General features: G+C 42.0%; 2 long non-coding RNA genes across 4 annotated transcripts; one reads left to right on the top strand and one right to left on the bottom strand.

Annotated features, from left to right (window-relative positions):
* Nucleotides 1-47: 47 nt before the first annotated feature.
* Nucleotides 48-13,962, bottom strand: LOC105370061 (uncharacterized). Of its 3 annotated transcripts, XR_007063516.1 has the most exons (4): nucleotides 13,786-13,962; nucleotides 6,063-6,203; nucleotides 3,248-3,352; nucleotides 48-197 (listed from the first exon to the last, which is right to left on the bottom strand). It is a non-coding gene; the product is annotated as an uncharacterized LOC105370061 (long non-coding RNA). The 3 variants fall into 3 exon arrangements; XR_945511.3 differs by lacking the exon at nucleotides 6,063-6,203; XR_001749174.2 differs by lacking the exons at nucleotides 48-197; nucleotides 6,063-6,203 and adding an exon at nucleotides 2,688-2,737.
* A 113-nt stretch (nucleotides 13,963-14,075) lies between these two features.
* LINC02372 (long intergenic non-protein coding RNA 2372) lies at nucleotides 14,076-19,272 on the top strand. The gene is made up of 3 exons (NR_033970.1): nucleotides 14,076-14,309; nucleotides 15,262-15,440; nucleotides 18,204-19,272. It is a non-coding gene; the product is annotated as a long intergenic non-protein coding RNA 2372 (long non-coding RNA).
* Nucleotides 19,273-19,614: the final 342 nt, after the last annotated feature.

Below are 19,614 nucleotides of genomic sequence, written 5' to 3'. Positions count from 1 at the left end.
CCAAAATAGGAAAATTGGTGCAACACATAACCACAGAACTCAGTGGCTTAACACAAAAGAGGTTTATTTTTCAGTCACAGTCTAACATGAGTCAATGATGGGGCTCTTCTCCATGCAGTCACTCAAGGGCCCAGGTTTCTCTCACTTTAGGGATTCTTCTTCTCCTGTGGGCTTCTCAGGGTCCTGCACTGGATCATCTGTGGCCATCCAATGGAGGGAGTAAGGGAGAGAATAGGAAGAACTGAGCAGGAGGTTTTGTAAACCCAAAATAGAGGTGACAACACCACCATCACGCACTTCCCATTGACCAGAAATCAGTTTTATCAGTAGGAGATGTTGGCTAGGTGGAGGTCCAAGAAGAGAGAAATAGTTTGGTGGACTTGATGCCTCTCCGTGCTATAATAATATCCCCTACCCCATGGGGTGGATGAGAAGATCAAAGGGGAGAATGCAAGGCAGGAGTCCTTAGTCACAGCACTACTGATATTTTAGGGCCAGCTAATTCTTTGTCGGGGAGAGCTGTGCTGTGCATTGTAGCATGTTAAAAGCATCCCTGGGCTCTACCCACTAGTTGCCAGTAATGTCTCTCCTGTTGTGCCAACAAAAATTGTCTTCAGACAATGCCAAATATCCTCTTAGAGTACAAATGGACCTTTATTGAGAACCACTGACATATGGCCTAATAAATATGTTTATTTTTATTGTGTTATTTGTATTAAGTATGAGAATTACATTTGAATGTTTTTTTAGGACTACTCGCCACCAAATTGATGCTTATCAATATTAGCTATTGCAATGTTGTTTTTGCTACTGATATCACCATAGTGGTTTCCACACCGTGTCATTTATTTAGAAACCTTTATATAAGCCACTTATTGAAGTGTCAGGAAGGTATAAGTAACATGGATATATCTATATATTGACTTAGTTATTTTGTAAATTTGGTAGTTTATTCACTTGGTATTGATTCAAAGCTGTTTGACATTATTTTCTGGAGAGATTATTTAACACAGATAATAAAATATTTCATGGCAATAAAAATTCTTCCTTTACGGTGATATCTGCTCTCTGATCATGTAACAGAGTCCAGTGCTGTAATATTCTATCTTCCCCAAATTATTCCTGTAGGGTTAATGTATAGATAGATAATAGACAAATAGCAGATAGTTATATGAGACAAATAGATGTTTATTTTTAAGGGTAACTAACAGATCCAGTACATCAAAACAAAGAGGGTTCATTTCAAGTACTGTAGAATATACATATTTTTATTTATTTTTGGCAGCACAACTCCCCTGTCTTCAACACTAGCTGGTATTAGGATATAATCTGTGGAATTGTTTATGCAAGACTTGGACCTCGAAACCAAGGACCAGTATTCTATCAGTTGCAATAGAAAAACACAGATGATTCCACCCAGCCTTTAAAGACCCCAGGTATATACCAACAGAAGCCAAATCAATCAAAGGTGATCCAGTGTATCCCAAAGCCATCAGGAAACCTCCCCTGCTTCATCATACTCTAGGAGAAAAACTCATTCCCAAAGGACACTCCCCAGTCAAGGACTGTCTTAAAACTTAAGGCTCCTTTGATTCTATAAAACTCTTTTAAAACCCCTGGGAGTCTCTGCCAAAAATGAAAAGCGTTGTAAGTCCCTTATTGGTAAGATCTGAATAAACAAACTTTGATGACCTTTACAGGTGGTCCTCATTCTATGGGTGGATCTTACAGAATAAACCATCACAAAAGCCAAAGAAAGGTTGGGGGCTGGGCAGAGTAAGTAGGAAATTTTCTTCAGATCCCAAAGGAGAGAAAAAAAAAACACGCCTAAATGTGCAGAATTATTTTCAAAAGATTTTGTTTTTAAGAGTTTCAACTCATTGGCTTCGGCCCTAAAGCTTCAATATAACAAATGGTGTTTATTAGGTAAAGATGCCTCATGTATCTCTCCTGAAAAAAGCAGCGACTCTTTCATTGCATTTCATCTAGCTGAGTTGCCTAGAGATTAAATGCCTTTTAATAATACCTGTTGAACTTTTTCTATATCTCTGTGCTGCCTTAGCCACAAAATCCATTTAGTCATTATTTGCTGCCACACTAGAAAGAGGTTTCCCGGAGAAGAAGAAATTCTACCTGTGGACCACAGCTCTCGGCCCTTAGAGTTTCTTGCCTGCCCTTTCTGACAGCCTGCCCTGCAGATTTCAGATTTGCTTGGCCAGCCCCTAACACATGAGCCAATTCCTTGGTACCTTTCTCTCTCTTTTTCTTTCTCTCTCTCTCTCTCCTTTTCCCTGCCCCATGTCCTACTGCTTCTATTTCTCTGGAGAACCTTGACTGCCTACTAATAGGTCTGTTAGTTAGAGTCACTAGGCTCTGATCAAATTCTCTTTCTGCTAAAATCTTCCTCCAAATTTGTTAAGTCACCAATTCCTGCTTAGACAGGTAAATGGGGAGTAAAAATGGTAGGTGCCTGCTGGGTGAGGTGTCAGATCTCAGGCAACAAAAAGTGATTTACTCATGGGTAGTAAGAAGAATTTACCAACAACAGTATAGATTTGAAAAGGAAAGGGCTTTTTTAAACTTTTATTTTAAGTTCTGGGGTACAAGTATAGGTTTGTTACATAGTTTAGTTTGCTAAGGAGAATGGCCTCCAGCTCCATCTATGTCCCTGTGAAGGACATGTTATCTTTCTTTTTTATGGCTGCATAGTATTCCATGGTGGTGATTCCTCAAAGACCTAAAGACAGAAATACCATTTGACCCAGCAATCCCATTACTGGGTATATACCCAAAGGAATATAAATAATTCAGTTATAAACATACATACGTGCATATGTTCATTGCAGTACTATTCACAATAGCAAAGACATGGAACCAACCTAAATGCCCATCAATGATAGACTGGATGAAAAGGAAAGTTTTATTAGAAAGAAATAATGCTGCAGAGGAGTTCAGTGGGAGCCTCAGCAAGAGAGAACTGAGTCCACCGCAGTGGATGTTCCTTAGGGGTGTGTATGGACCTTAGAGCAGGAGCTTAAGGGTAAGTTGGGACCATATTAACTATGTAGGTCATGATAGATGATTACATTTTTAGGCATTCTGGTGCCTTGATGTCATCAAGGGGTGCAAAATGAGTTTTGATGTATATGCATTCTGGAGCTGTATAGAAATTGTAGTTACTTATAAATTTTGGGGAAAGAAGGCTGGTACCAGATGCCTGCTTTGGATAATAGGGAAGTCTAATTACTTCTGAATTCTTCAGTTAAGGAGCTTTGCCTCTGGAAGTCCGGCTTGATGAGCACCAGGTGATCTTTGCTCTCCTCAGTATCCACTCCTGGTCGAAACTCTCACTCTGAAAGGAACAAGCAAACTAAGTAATGAAAATCCCGAAAGCTGTGCAGCTACAACTTTTCTAAAGTTCACAATTTGTAAAATTATTCAATCAAAATTACAAACCTCACGCATTGCTACAAAAATGTAATGTATATAAATGAATTATTGTGGGGTGAGGTGTATGTGATAACATTATAAACTCTTCCTTCTCAAGCAATATATTTCACTGATTACAGGATGGTGTGGTTTTTTTTTTTTCATGAAAGAATAACCTACTGCTGGAAATATGAAAACTGATTTTAAAGATTCCCACTGTCCTTCATAATTCATCATTGTATATAACTAGGTGAAATTTATGTTACCTAACTGGATTTGGTAGTGCAATTTGGCAGTTAATTATTGTAAAATTGTGTTTGTAACCAATAGTGACTGTAATTGGATGTCAAGTTTAATTGTGGCTTGAAACCTAAATGGCATGTCCTGGGAGACACCACGTCCTAGACAAGGTGCCTCAATGTCAGCCAAATACCTCCTCACATGGGCTGTGTTTTTGTTCACAAGATTGGGAAAACATATGCTATGGTTGATATCATCAATATGTAATGAAAACATATGCTATGGTTGATATCATCAATATGTAATCAACACAAAATAAGGCAGCTCCCAAAAAAAAGACGTGACCAGCCAGACCATAACATTCCAACGTGGAAATGAAAGACATCATTTTTTTGCCTGCCATTAAAAGAAACCAGATCTACAGAAAGAAAGGGAAATGCAGGGGGGCAGAGAAAAATAAATGTCAGAAAAAGCCTCAGAGCTTTTTGGTTCCCTGTTACAGAGACCCCATTCCAGCTTAACTTTTGTATTCAATGTGACATCTTACTTCTCATAATAAATTGTCCTTTTAAGCTCTGCTGACTTGAGAAGGTCTCTTTCACATACAGCTGTAGGATGCTAACTTAAGTAAGTATCTGGTGGACACTAGACTCATAGAATGGCTAAAACCAGATGAACCTGGTCAATTAACAATAAAAGCTCAGAAGTCATAAATGTGTCATACAGTAGTAGAGTTTGTTATCCCTGAAAATTGGAAAGTTTGTACATATTTCTCCCATGGGTTCTTATTTTAACATACTTGTTACTTATAAAATGTTAGACATAGAAGGAGATTTTTTAGATTATCTAGTTCTGTAAATCACACTATCCAGAATAACTCTTGCTTTGGGGGATATGTGACCCATTTTGGAGGGGAAGACAGCCTCCCATCTAATCAGCCTTTCGTTTGCTGGGTGGTCCCCACTCTGTGACTCCTGATAAGGGCTGAGTTTTAGATCCCTTTGATGATGTCAAATGAGACCACAAATCTTCCTGCTTTCTGCCAGCTCAGACACAGGAAGGACAGCTAGACTTGACCCACTGAATTCCTGCCCTGAGATTTGCATCCAGAAGCAGGCACATGAGAACAGAGCCAGCAGGGACACGAGAACAGAGCCAGCTGGCAGCCCCAGCGTCCAGTTCACAACTGCATTGCTCCTTGGCTACGTGGTCTGCCCAGCCCCCAGCAATTCCAGCTGGCTTCCTCTTTGCTGTTAGTGGATTTGGGGAACTACCCATTAATTTTCAATAAATTCATTTTCTGTTTAAGTTACATCAACCCTGTTACCGTTATTTGCAGCCAAGTTCCCTGGCTGATACCATAACAGAGGGTCACTCAGCTCCCCTGTGTCCTGCCTGAGACACAACTCATTTTCCAGGGTAATCCAGTTCACTTTTGCATAGCTGTTGTTATGAAGCCTTTTCCCTAATGCTTTTACCCATTGTTTATAGTTTTGACTTTTGCAAACATAAATCTATGCGTTCATTCTTTGGTTACGAGTAGCATAGGTTTCTTGGAGGTTACATAAATTAGGGTATTTATATGGACGAAAGAGAGAAGAAACAAAAAAAAAAGAGAAAGGGAGAAATGACAAAGGAAATAATAAAGAAAGGTAATCTAAATGGTTCGAACGTACTATCCACAGTATGAGCAAATGCCCCAGAATGAACCCAAAATGCATGCAGTGATCCTGTTGTCCCCTCTGTCTTGGTCCTGTGCTGTCTCTGAGTCTGAGCGTCACAACATCCTGAACATGACCCTCGTGTTTTCATACTACATGGCCCTGAAGTGCCAGGCACCCTCTCCCTTTGGAGATCAGCTGAAGATCAGCCATTCAGCCCCAACACTGGAGGGAAATTGGCTGCACTGGACATGCAGAGAGATTCCCTTGTCCTATACTTTTAAGTATCTTAAGGGATGCCCAAGGGTAATTCTGATTGCTTTTGCCATCAAGACTGAAGCAGTATTTTTCTCTGTATAGCCACGTGACTTACTTACTCCCTATCTCTCTGAAGTCTTTTCTCCAGTGGCAGCTTATCCAAAAAGGGTCTGTGGACCATTACGTTGAAACAGTAAACCCTGTTCCTGACCACTGACTTCAAATGTACATTCCCTGTATACTTTTCTCAATACCATGTTTTTCTGTCTGCCTTGCCATATTCATTTACTTGTGACATATGAAAAAATTTTTTTCCCTATACAAAAATATAAGCTCCTCGGCCAGGCGCGGTGGCTCACGCCTGTAATCCCAGCACTTTGGGAGGCCAAGGTGGGTCGATCGTGAGGTCAGGAGATCGAGAGTATCCTGGCCAATATGGTGAAACCCCATCTCTATTACAAATACAAAAATTACCTGGGCATTGCGGTGCGTGCCTGTAATCCCAGCTGCTCGGGAGGCTGAGGCAGGAAAATCGCTTGAACGTGGGAGGCAGAGGTTGCAGTGAGCCGAGATCGCGCCACTGCACTCCAGCCTGGCAACACAGCAAGACTCCGTCTCAAAAAAAAAAAAAAAAGTATATATATATATATATATATATATATATATATATATATATATATATATATGAAGGACAGAAAACACATCATTCTTTGTATTCTATAACCTCTGCAGGTAGAGTGAGTGATGGCTGTCACAGAGCAAGTGTACAATAAACACTAAATGAGCACGTGCGTAGATACCTATTATATAAACTCAACTCACAGGCAGCCTGGGAGAGCCAGCCTCTCATTCTCTCTCTTGCTTTCAGAAAAGGCTCCAATACAATATTTATTTCTTCCTGTGAATTCTGTTACCTTTCCCACTGGATTAATTGGTGAAAACATTTAACACAGACTGAACAAATTGCGCTTCCATGAGAAGGGAGAGCTGTGTATACGTGGGTGGGGAGGGTGTCAGCTAGAAAGTGGTTGCTGGAAAACCACAAACAATGTTCCATTGAGTTGCAATGATAACAGAGATGTCAGATTGACTTTACAGTTAGAGCTGCATCTTAGAGGACCTAAAAGAAGCTGGGCACGAATGTCTAGGTTGTCTTTGGAGAGTTCTCTTGATGTAAACAGATCCGTCTGCTGAAATCCCAACTCTCTCACGGGCTACGCGATAATGAACAATTTTATCATAGTTCCGTGCCTCTGTTTCTATATCTCTGAAATAGGAATGAGGGAAGTTTCTATAATACCTGAGGGGGCTAATGTGAGAATTACATTCATTCATGTATTCACAGATATCTATTTAGAAACTCCTACGTTGCAAACATTGCTTTACTTATCAGAGATACAGTGGAGAATAAAATAGGAAGAACCTCTAACCTTAAAGTGCATAAATACATAAATAACAAGGGTGTTTCAGGTAGTGAGAGGTGCTGTGTAGAAGACAAATAGGGACCGGTTTAAATCCATGTGCGTTTGTTAACCGTGGCTGTGACGATGCTGCCACCAACCACAGCACCTCAGAGCCCAAGCAGTCATCATTTGCGGCTCATGCGTTTGTGGATTACCTGGGCACTGGCTGATCTGTGCTGGGCCTGGCTGGGGTACCTTGTCTTCAAATAGTTGTGCTCTGTATGGCTGTCACGTTTCTCTTCAAACCAATCAGCCCAGGCATGTTGTGGCACAGGAATGGCAGAGGTTTGTGACAGACCGTGGAAAATTCAAGGCCCTTTAAACATACACTAGCGCAGGCAGTCTACCCCTTGCACCTCGTTCTATTGCAACACAGTTGACATGACGGAACAGAAATTCAAGGGATTAATAAATACATTCTGCTGTTTTGTTGACGGGAATTTGAGGCTCACAATGGAACATGGCACGCGCAAAGGGATGGCTTAAGGAATTAGCACCAATGATGCAACTGATCCCAGGGGCCCTTCTGAATAGTCATGCTCAGCAAAAGCCTGAATCGCTGGAAGAATCTGAGCTAGAAAATATCTGTGTTACAAATGTCCAGGTTGAGAAAAGTCCTCCAGCGGAGGAACTAATTTAGGGAAAAGGTTAGACAGTAAATGGAATACAAAATGGCCGGCGAGTCCCAAGTGTCTTGAGCCAGGGAAAGACCAGGGATTGGTGGCAGCTGGCTGCACCCTGGGCTGGGGGTCCGGGGCCATGCTACTTCTGCATGCTTAGAGGACATGTAAACCACAGACAGGGAACCTGGTCCCGAAAAGTTCATTTTTCCCTGCTTGCTCTACTGAAAATAAAGACAGTGTATAAAATATCATGTGTATATTATATAGAGACCTCTTGAAAAGGTGATAAATTCTTGTGATTTGGGGCACAAAGGTGGGAAGCAAATCTTATTTTATTGCTCAGTAATCCATCCTGCTCAGCCTATCTCCCTTCTTAATTTCTGACAATCCAGGGGATCTTCCCAAGTCTCTGCCTGGGGCTGTGTTTGGAAAAACAAGGTCACATGAACCATTGGGTAAAAGTGAGGCAGGAATTTCTCAGCATCGCTGACTCTGTCCTTAACGGCAGGGAGAGTCTCTTCTGTAGGGGTGTAGGGTCTTGGGTACAAACAGGTTCCTGCTCAGTCACAGGGACGGCATTACTCTCTTTTGTATCGGTACAGATGCCCCTTGTGTGGGGCATTCTTAGGCATTCAAATTCCAACTGACGTGGTAGCTCAATTGTATCTATTAAGAATTTGCTCAAATGTTATTTCATTGCTTGTCTAATGTTATAGCTGCCTCCTTTGCCTACTGTGCTTTGCCAAATGTTGTGTGTCTCGCTCCTGTAAGAGGAACTTGTCACTGAAATTTACCTCACCACTTTCTACCGAGATCTCCGTTTTCAAAGTTATTGTGCTTATGTTGATTAGCCATTTTATTTTCTTATTGTTAACATGAGAGTAACATATGCATGCAGCTTTCATTTTTCTAAGGAAAAGCCAAACTTCATAATTTTTTGAATGGAATTAATAAAAACCAATTAATCATGGCTATGCCTACAGTGCCATGTTCAACAACAGATGCTTCCCATAGTAATTAGGTTGGAATAATAACAGGAGAGGAAATGCCCAGTCATTCGTACTGCTAAGAGTGCTGACAAGACTGTTTCATCAATAAAACCACTGGGAGAGGAGTTCTTAGCATCCAGGGCTGGCAATGATTTACCGTGTGCCTTTAGTGGAGCCATTCCAACTTCCTGCCTCAGTTTCCTCAACAAAACATAAAGAAATAACATAGTTCCTTCTTTTTTTTTTTTTTTTTTTTTTTTTTTTTTGAGATGGAGTTTCGCTCTTTTTGCCCAGGCTGGAGTGGGATGGCACGATCTCGGCTCACCGCAACCTCCGCCTCCCGGGTTCAAGTGATTCTCCTGCCTCAGCCTCCGGAGTAGCTGGGATTATAGGCATGCACCACCACGCCCGGCTAATTTTGTATTTTTAGTAGAGACGGGGTTTCTCCACTTTGGTCAGGCTGCTCTCGGACTCCCTACCTCAGGTGATCCACCTGCCTCAGCCTCCCAAAGTGCTAGGATTACAGGCATGGGCCACCGCACCCGGCCCATAGTGCCATTTTTAATTTGACCACAAAACAACTATTTGGGAAAAATTGGTCTGCAAAAGGGTGGAGACAATGTGACAGTTCCCTTGTAAATGGCCTGCATTTTCCTTATTTAACTGTTATCCTTTGGATCCTAGATATACAAATCCGTCCCCTGAGCAACCTCGGGTTATTTATACACATTTTGGCTGCTGTCTGTAGTTCATTGAGCTCCTTTGTGTTTCCATCTTTTATCACATAGAGACAGTATATCCTGATACAGAGATGATTTCAAATCCTTACTTCCCCACTGTCTCCATAAGAAAGTGTTATGCAGCTTTTTGCATTTAGCCGGCCCATGTAGGGAGAGTTATGTAGCATCACGCTCGTAAAACACTTAGCAGACTATCTGATGCATTGTGCATGGGGGCGCTCACCAAATAAGTTGATGTTACCATCATTATTTTGAGGCTTCCTGGTGTGTGCAGGGGCACATAACACAAGTTGTGGCTGCCTCACCAGATGCAAGAGACAGGCCCCAAATTCTCCTGCTGTTTTCGTTTGTTTGCTTTTATGTCTTTATATATCGTGTCAGAGTGTGTGAGCAGAGTTTAAACTCAAGCCCACAATAACGACAACCAGCATGGGATAGACCTGGATCCATCAGACTGGTGAGAGGGACCCTGTTATGGGCTGGTCAGAGGGGCTGGAGACTGGAGTGGGCTTTACCTTCAGTACTGGGTGGAAGAAATTTCATCTCTTGCCATTCACAAGAAAGCCTTGTGCTTTGGAGGACTTACAAATGCTTCAGTGACCTTCCCATTCTGGCTGGTGGGAATTGGCACCTGTGTGAGCTCTGAGTACTTTTCCCTTACTCCCTTTGAGGTGGTTCTTCCTTGGCTAACCTCACATGCGTGCGTGGATCAGAATCCTGCTGAGGACTTCACCTGGGCTCGCTGTACAGCCCAAGAGTTTCTTCTAGGTGCAACTTTCCTCATCTTTGTTAACTCTGCTTGCAAATATCAGCTGCCATGGCCCCCCCCAGAATCCCTACTCCATGGCACCAGCTCAGGAAGTTCACCAGGCTTCAACTGGGTCCTCGCTCATCCAAAAGCTTCTCTAGACAATGGATGGGGGGATCCACCTTGTAGGATCCACCTTGATCATTTCCCATCTCTTAGGAATCAGTGTCCTACATTGGCTGATGCCTAATGTCTTGAAAACCATTATTTTATATAATTTTGGTTTTTTTCCAGGTGAGATCATGAATCTAGTCTTGATTACTCCACCTTGGTCAGAAGGAGAATTTCGATCTGTGTCGTTTGCTGAGGTGAAAAATCCAGATTTTTGCAGTGGCATTGGGCCAGCACTGTGGCTCATTTGATACAGTTTCCATTCTGCCCAGTTCTCAGGACAGTTTTGAGGCACCACACTGTCACCTCTCTGTACTCTGTTTACCCACCCCCTCACCCGCCTGATTATTCTGCCTGTCCATCATTGCTTCTCCTTTTTTCTAGCAACTTCTTTCCATGTTGTCCTTTGAGGAACTGTCATTTGACCACTCTCCTTTCATGTGGAAATCCTTTGGAATTGGCATGATCATCAGAATGTGTCCTGCCCTTCCTATAAGGATGGCTTCAGAAATGCATATGTGACTGAACACATGTAACTACCAGTCCTCCAAGAGAAGAACGTGGTCCCTAATGGTTCCTGTGGAGGGAACTTTTGTGGAGGGTTCTTATTGCAGGCATTCAATTACGTGCCTCTTTCTGAAGTGACCACTGTGGTCAGGAATAGGAAGCTCCACTTCACCTGTGTATGTGTGGGGTCTGAGTATGATTTGCTAAACTGGTAGAATAAAAGCATGGCACTGTCACATTCATTACTAAATGGAGAGAGAATACGGCCAATACAGGAGAGAGAGAGAGACAGAGAGAGAGAGAGAATTTGGGAAAAGAAGGCAAATTCCTTAGGAGACTGTTGAGGACATTGAGGGCCTGGCTCAAGATATACCAGCAGTCAGCTAGTCCAAATTTTCCAGGTAAATTTTATTTCCTTTTTTTTTTTTTGAGAAGGAGTTTCGCTCTTGTTGCCCAGGCTGGAGTGCAATGGCGCTATCTTGGCTCACTGCAACCTCTGCCTCCCAGGTTCAAGCGATTCTCCTGCCTCAGCCTCCTGAGTGGCTGGGATTACAGGCGCCCACCGCCACACCCAGTTAATTTGGTATTTTTAGTAGAGACGGGGTTTCTCCACGTTGGTCAGGCTGGTTTCAAACTCCCGACCTCAGGTGATCTACCCACCTAGGCTTCCCAAACTGCTGGAATTACAGGCATGAGCCACCGTGCCCGGCCTTACTTCCATTTCTTATTGTAAACTTTGTATGTGTGTTTTTAAGCCAGAATGGTTGGGATTTAGTTATTGGTATATAAAATAATCCTAATATGACATTCACTGTGAAGCTGTTCACACTGCCCTTTGTTAGTTAGCCCTGCTTGTACAGGCATAGTGTGGGTTGCGGATTGTGCCAGCACCCAGAATACCCAGTCTAAAGCAGGAGTGAGGCCCCAGCCATCTCTGGAAGGGATGGCCTGTACAATTATTGTTTTTTTTTCTAAGAGTCCTGAAGCACGGCATGGAGTGTTTGGAAGTTAGGTATGCCCTTTACTTCACAAATAACAGCAATTATATTGGCCCCTAACTGCCTCCTTGTTTTTATTTGTTGAAACTGGATGAATTGAGGGGTGAGAGTGAAGGGCTCTCAAATCCTTAGGTTATGCAGAATGTGTACACTAAGACCTACTCTTAAATATCTTTTTTCCCTGCTTCCCTCTTGCTACAGAGAGAAAGCACAAAAGATTTTTAGAAAAGGTGATACTGTTGGCACAGGAGGTGGGGGAAAAATCCAGTTTTCCAACTTAGTGATCATCTGTTGCTAGTTATCTTTCCTTCTCCCAGATCTGGTTATCGGTGGATCACTGTGTCCTCTGAAGGCTCTCCCAGAGCTGTACTGGAGATTGCAGGGATATAAGGACCACTTCATAAAAGCTCACTTTTTTTTTTTTTTGAGATGGAGTCTCGCTCAGCCGCCCTGGCTGGAGTACAGTGGTGCGATCTCAGCTCACTGCAACCTCTGCCTCTCAGGTTCAAGTGATTGTCCTGTCTCGGCCTCCCAAGTAGCTGGGATTACAGGCACCCGCCATCATGCCCAACTAAGTTTTGTATTTTTTTTTTAGCAGAGACAGGGTTTCACTGTGTTGGCCAGGCTGGTCTTGAACTCCTGACCTCGGGTGATCCACCCGCCTTGGCCTCCCAGAGTGCTAGGATTACAGGCGTGAGCCACTGTGCCTGGCCAAAAGCTCACCTTTAATTCAGCTCTATCTAACTTGTTTCTCCGGTGCATTTGCTTTTCTCAAGGCATTGAGCTTTCTCCAGTGGCCGGAGCTGCTAATTAGTTATTGCAAGCTTCTTTCCTTAGGGGAGATAAAAAGGTTTTGATCAAATCAAAGTGCTTCTAATTCTGATTCATTTCCCTTGTTCTTGTTTCTTAAGTCCCCAGCTTAGAAGGGGGTTGGTTGATGCTTCCTTTTACTTCAAGCTGTTTCTTCTCTAATGTTAAATGGTAAATCCATACCTGATGTGTCTGTTATTGATAAAGTTCAGATGGCATTTCAAGTTTCTGCAGAAGCTTTCTCACTTTCTGTGTGAGCATTTTCTAAATGGAAAGATTCTTCCTTCCATAGGATGCTTTCAATTTGAGTTCTAAGAAATTTATTTATTAGATTTTTCTTTTTCTTTTTTTTTTTTTTTTTTTGGTTTACTATCTGTCTTCTAGTTTTTTTCCTCTAGGAGAAAGTGCTTACTTTAAAAGCACAGATAGGTTTCTCAAAAGGGTCTTTGCCTAATGGATAATGCGGTCTTCCTTTTATAATCCACTCTTTATATTGAATTTCAGATTTCCACCTTCTACATTATTTTCTATTGGCTGGTAGATATGTGATATTCAGAAAGGTTTCCATCAGACACTTAAACTAAATCTATCATTTAGGATTTGTGTTCTGTATTCATTAGAATTCCAATAATTTCCTTCTTTCTATTCAAGTCCTTCTCCCTTTCTTTCCAGCCTTCAATTTCTTGTAAAAGAAATTTTCAATGTTTTTAAAGATCAGAAAGTGTTTTCTTATGTTGTGAATTATTCTTCTGCCAGGCTCGTAAGCTGTTTTCACTCAAGTGACTTAGAATGGCCAGGCTTCATCTTACAGAAACCATATCTAACTTTGAAAATGACCCATATACACACTTCACCATGGAGAGAGGGGGCTCCCTTTTGGCTTATTTTCAACAAGGCCTCTTTTATCATTACACAAAGAGATAGACCTATTCAGATTAGTATTAACTGATGACAAACCCAGTGTATCTAACTCACTCAAAGAGCTGGCCTGTCTTGAAGGAAGCTCAAGGATTTCCTGGGTTTATGATCTAGTTAAACGTGTTAAGAATTTTACAATATTTTTCACTTTGTCAGATAGCCTTTTGATTACTTGCTTTGTCCATGTTAAATTATGTATTTTTTAAAGACTGTTAAGAAGGATTACTTACCATCATCTCCCCAGGAACCTAGAGGACCTGTGTATCCCCTGAGCCTTCAGACACCCCCATTGCTAAGGCAGAGCTGGGACTAAAGGCTTGTGGCCATCAGCAGACCTAGCGCAGTAGCCAAGGCCCTGCACGCCTGCCTTTGGTGGCCAGACACCAGCTTAGACACAAGACTACACTGGACCCTGGGGAATGTGGAGCTTGGAATGCAAACAAGCACCTGGCAACCAGGACAGGCTACCAGGGACTAGAGAACCAGGAGGCTTCATTGGGTAACAAAGTTCTTCCCAAGCATTCTCTTGCATTCCACCCGGGGAACAAGACAGCACCGGGTTTCACACTGGCAAGGCAGGAGGCTGTGTGCTGCCAGAACGACCAGCAGGGGGCGCAAAGGCCACGCCAGGCACCTGCTGGCCTCAGAGAAAACAGAAAGGGAACCAGGAAGCCCACTCCTGCTGTCCTTTCTCTGCAAGGAAATGTGCCAGGGCACTGCAGCCCAGACAGTCGGCAGTAGAGGACCCATGAAGGTCATTATCACTGCTTTTCCCTCCTCTTATTGAAGCTCTTCCCTCTGCAGCCCTGGAAGCCTGATCCTACCTACAGATGTCAGCGAAATCTCCCTCCCTCAGGGTCCCTGTCTAGTTTGTTTTTGACCCGGCCACAAATACTAGGACAGAAAAATAATGGACGGCACAAAGGTCTTTATTGTCTTTTGTTGGTCTGTTTTTATTTTTTTGAGGTGTTTTCCCATGATAACTAGTGTAATGGAAGCATAATGTATTTCACGTTGTAAACCAAAAAGTATCTGAGAAAAGACTCAATCAATTTAGAAGTTTATTCTGTCAAGGTTAAGGACATGCCTGTGACACAGCCTCAGGAGGTCGTGAGAGCACGTGCCCATGGTGGTCAGGCTACGGTTTGGCTTTGTACATTCCAGGGAGACCGAAGACATCAGCGGTCCAGAAAGGCAGGACAACTCAAAGTGGAAGCTTCCAGGTCATAGGCGGATTCAAAGATTGTCCAATTGGCAATTGGTTGAAAGAGGTTATCTAAAGACCAGATATCCAAAGAAGGGAAGGTCTGGGCTCAGATAAAGGGTTGTGGAGACCAAGATTCTTATCATGCAGATGAACCCTCCAGGTAGCAGGCTCAGAGAGGATAAATTGTAAATGTTTCTTATCAGACTTTAAAAGGTGTTAGACTCTTAAGTCAATTCTCTCCTGGATCAGGAAAAGTATTTTTAAAAATGTTTATAAGCTCAATTATTTTATTAATTTATTGTTAGTAACTTTGAGATCTGATTAAGAAATCTTTGCTAAACCCAAGATAGCAAGAGCTTTATCTTAGAAGCTTTATTCTTTTAATTTAAACACTTAGGTCTACAGTCTCTCTCAAAATCAAGTAATGGATCACTTCAGTTCCAAGTGTAACAATGAAAAATGAAAACCGTGAATTACCTCTTTCTCTATATTTTCACAGTATCTTTGTGCAAAGAAAGCAGCAAAGAGAATTAAGAGAATTGCATCATATAAAGAGTGAATTAAACCATCTAAAGGAGCAAAAATTCATCATCACATGGACAAGAAATTAAGACGTAACATCCATCTCACTATTTGCAAAGTGGCTTATTCCTACAGACAATGCAGATATGTAAAAAGGTTTTTCTATAGTTTCATCCTTTGTAGAACCTAAAGAGATAAGCCTACATTTTGAAATAAAATTTTTAAAAATCATGTAAAAAAATGACCTACTGTAGCAATGACATTTTGAAGACATCTCATAGAACATGAAGACCCCCCAGTATTATGAATTGATAACATGATTGCTTTCTTGGGCTGGAAGGATAATTTCCCTAATGGACATTAAAGCATTTGGATCATTATTTTCCATCTGGAAAGTGATAGTGTCCTGATTGTCTCAAGTAAGGGCACCCCATGAAACACAGGCCCAGGTCATGTCCTTCTCCAAATTTTCCTCCATTAAAAAAATCTAAAAAATAAACACAGCAAATATGACACCATAACTTATCTAAATTTTGCAAATTCATAAAGAGATCATTGATGCATACTAACGATGTGAATTTTAAAAATCTGATATGTAGTGCATGCACTTTGCAAACAAAAGTCAAAAAAAGGTGTACTTTTCTTCATGAATGCCATTTTTCATTTTCAAATTCCACTTTTTCTTCTTTTATTGCAACCACATTTATTACATGGCATACATGCATAGTGAGATCTGGAGATAAAATGCTGATATCTGCGGCTCAGACTTTCTATATTCTAGGGGGAACAAGTTTCCCCTAAATTACCTAAATTATCTTTACATATATAATTATGTAAATTTAGATTTTTTGTTTGTTTTTTAGAGACAGGGTCTTACTATGTCACCCAGGCTGGAGTACAGTGGCATGATCTCAGCTCACTGCAACCTCCATTTCCTGGGTTCAAGAGATCTTCATGCCTCAGCCTCTCAAGTAGCTGGGACTACATGTGTGTGCCACCACACCTGCTAATTTTTGTATTTTTATTTTTAGTAGAGATGTTATTTCACCATGCTAGCCAAGCTGGTCTCGAACTCCTGACTTCAAGTGATCTACCCACCTTGGCCTCCCAAAGTGCTGAGATTACAGACATAAGCCACCACGCCCAGTGATATATATATATTTAAATATTTTATTAATTAAAATATTAAATATTTTATATATTTAAATATATATTAAATATATATATTTTTTTGAGACAGAGTCTCACTCTGTCACTCAGGCAGGAGTGCAGTGGTACAATCTCGGCTCACTGCAACCTCCGCCTCCCAGGATCAAGCGATTCTCCTGCCTCAGCCTCCCGAGTAGCTGGGATTACAGGGGCCTGCCACCACACCAGGCTAATTTTTGTATTTTTAGAAGAGATGGGGTTTCATGATGTTGGCCAGGCTGGTCTCGAACTCCTGACCTCTTTTTTTTTTTTTTTTTTTTTGAGACGGAGTCTCGCTCTGTCGCCCAGGCCGGACTGCGGACTGCAGTGGCGCAATCTCGGCTCACTGCAAGCTCCGCCTCCCGGGTTCACGCCATTCTCCTGCCTCAGCCTCCCCAGTAGCTGGGACTACAGGCGCCCGCCACCGCGCCCGGCTAATTTTTTGTATTTTTAGTAGAGACGGGGTTTCACCTTGTTAGCCAGGATGGTCTCGATCTCCTGACCTCATGATCCACCCGCCTCGGCCTCCCAAAGTGCTGGGATTACAGGCGTGAGCCACCGCGCCCAGCCACTCCTGACCTCTTGATCCGCCCACCTCAGCCTCCCAAAGTGCCACCATGCCCAGCCTTTTAGGATCACTTTCTGCCAGCTTTTTAGACTCATAAAAGCATGCAGCTTCACAGATTGGTTTCATAAAGACAATTTTTAAGTTTTATGTCTATTATTATATGATACCTGTGATGTTTGGAAAAAGGGGAGCCATTGATCATTAAGACACATCCAACTGAGACTTCCCTTTCCATACCAATGACAAAGGATGGCATTTGCCAAAATGGCAAAGATGACGCTGACAGTTTCATGAAGTGCCCGCATAGCCAACAGGATGGCTTGTAAAAGATTTAGTAAATAACTCACCCCCAATCCTGAAACATCTGCAGCAATCTTCAGGGATCCAAGCAACTCCTCAGTGGTCTTGAGTCTTTCTTACGTCTCCAGAACTCTGCATGTCTGAGCCAGTAGCATCTTTCACTCTTGGCCCCATGCAAAACTCTTGCCCCTACGCATATACATAATCAAGCTATTAATGCAAATGAGCAAAATGGGAGCCATGGCCTCAGCCACTAAAATGCTAAGTTTTTAGGTAATTTGCGCTCCTGATTAGAAAGTAAGAAATATTTGTCCTGTTTGTCTTATCATCAAATGGGGACAATCTGGAAAAAAGCTTTTACTCAGGTTCATAGGAAAAAGGAAAGTTAATTTTTTAGAGATTCAACCTCTTTATGCCTTTTCAGATTAAACTTTTTTTTTTTTTTTGTGAGATGGAGTCTCAGTCTGTGGTAGCTGGAGTGCAATAGCACAGTCTTGGCTCACGGCAACCTCCCCGTCCCAAGTTCAAGCGATTCTCCTGCCTCATCTTCCCGAGTAGCTGGGATTACAGGGGTGCACCACCACACCTGGATAATTTTTGCATTTTTAGTAGAGTTGGGTTTCACCATGCTGGCCAGGCTGGTCTCAAACTCCTGACCTCAGGCGATTGGCCCTCCTCAGCCTCCCAAAGTGCTGGGATTACAGGTGTGAGCCACTGCAAGCGGCCGATTAATCACTTTTTAAAATTGTTTATCTTACTTTCACTTTCTGCAAAAAGAGCATTAAGTGTGTGGAAGAAAGTTAATGCATGTCTATAAATCTAAATGTCAAATTACACAGATATTTACTTTTTCTTGTTTTCAGCAGCTGGAAACCTAGGAGCAGAAGCCCAGCATAAAGATCTCTGAAAGCCTGGATGCGTGGATTCCTCTCTTACTTCCCAAAACGGTGGGGTGGAAATGTGAATATCAGCATGATGCACAGATCTCTGCAGATGTCCAGCGAACTGAATTTCTAGACGCTATAATCTATGTTCTTTCCCAACCCCCACTTCAGTTTACATATCGCAGGCCATAGATCCTGTTTGTTGAAAAGCGATCAGCTAGAAAACAAGAGTGGTTATAACCTGTGCTGCCCAGTGATCAGGAAAAGAGAGCGGATGAAACTTCCATGACTTTCTGTTAGTCTGATTAATATCCATGCCAAATGTAAGATTAGTTAAAAGGCCTTATTGCTTCCCACCAAAATGTTCCTTCACTAGCTATATACTACACTGAAATGTAAAGTTATGGGTATGTTTAACAGTTTAATTTGTCAGTGGGCATCCAACTCTTCTATTTGTGTTTTTACTTTGAGCTTAATTGGAGCAGACAAATAGAGGTGACCTCTAACTGTTTTCTTCCTGAAGCCATTTTCAGGGCAGAAGTGCTTTACCCACTTCATTGAGAAACCACCTTTGCATGCAGTACCCTGAGCTGTCTTCAGCACACCAAGCATCCACAACATGGGAAATACCGTGCTTTAAATGTTGCTTTAATCACAGTGCTCATGAGTAAGGGCATGTCCTGTCTCTTATCCATGAAAACACTCCCACAAAATGAAGTCACACCCAGTATCTGTTAACGGAGATACTGAGTGGGTGAAGAAGACTCATTCCCTAATGCAATTCAGGTCACACAGGGTAAAAAAGAAAAAAAAATCCTTTTCTGTTGAGGATACAGATGGAGAGAAAATGGAAAATGCCTTTCAGGAAGCACAAGCCTAGTTTTCTAATTGTGTTTCAGTGAACACGCAGGTGAACTTACCTGTGTGGCTTGGTATTGTGGTGGGTTTTCAGCTTCTTCTCCACCAAATCCTTTGAAAAGCAGCAGTGGCAGAAACAAATAACCCAATTAAAAACAATAATAGCAACAATAAAAAAAGAAAAGATGAAGAAAGCAGTGGTTTTCTTTGGCTAGCTGAGGAACTTTCTACTAGGCGTTAGCAATCTCTTTGTAAACTTTTTTCTTTACAGCAAATGCTTCATTCTCTAGACACATGTCAAGAATTTTCAAGCATCGCCAGACTCAATTCTTCACCCCCATGTTAACAATTAAAGAATCAGCCGAATGCCTGTGTTTAAGAATCAAGCCCCTGAAACCTGTGATTTGTACGTTACTCACACCCTCTAGTCCTATTAGCAAGAGATGCTGGGAGAACTTCTTGGTCATCAATTTGATGAGTTCCAAGGGGAATGTGGGTTTTGGTTGTGATGTTCATACACATAGAAATCTGG

The sequence above is a fragment of the Homo sapiens genome, chromosome 12, assembly GCF_000001405.40.
Source record: "Homo sapiens chromosome 12, GRCh38.p14 Primary Assembly".
Lineage (NCBI taxonomy): Eukaryota > Metazoa > Chordata > Mammalia > Primates > Hominidae > Homo > Homo sapiens.
Note: the sequence above shows the minus strand (reverse complement) of the source record. Positions and strands in the feature narration are given on the sequence as shown.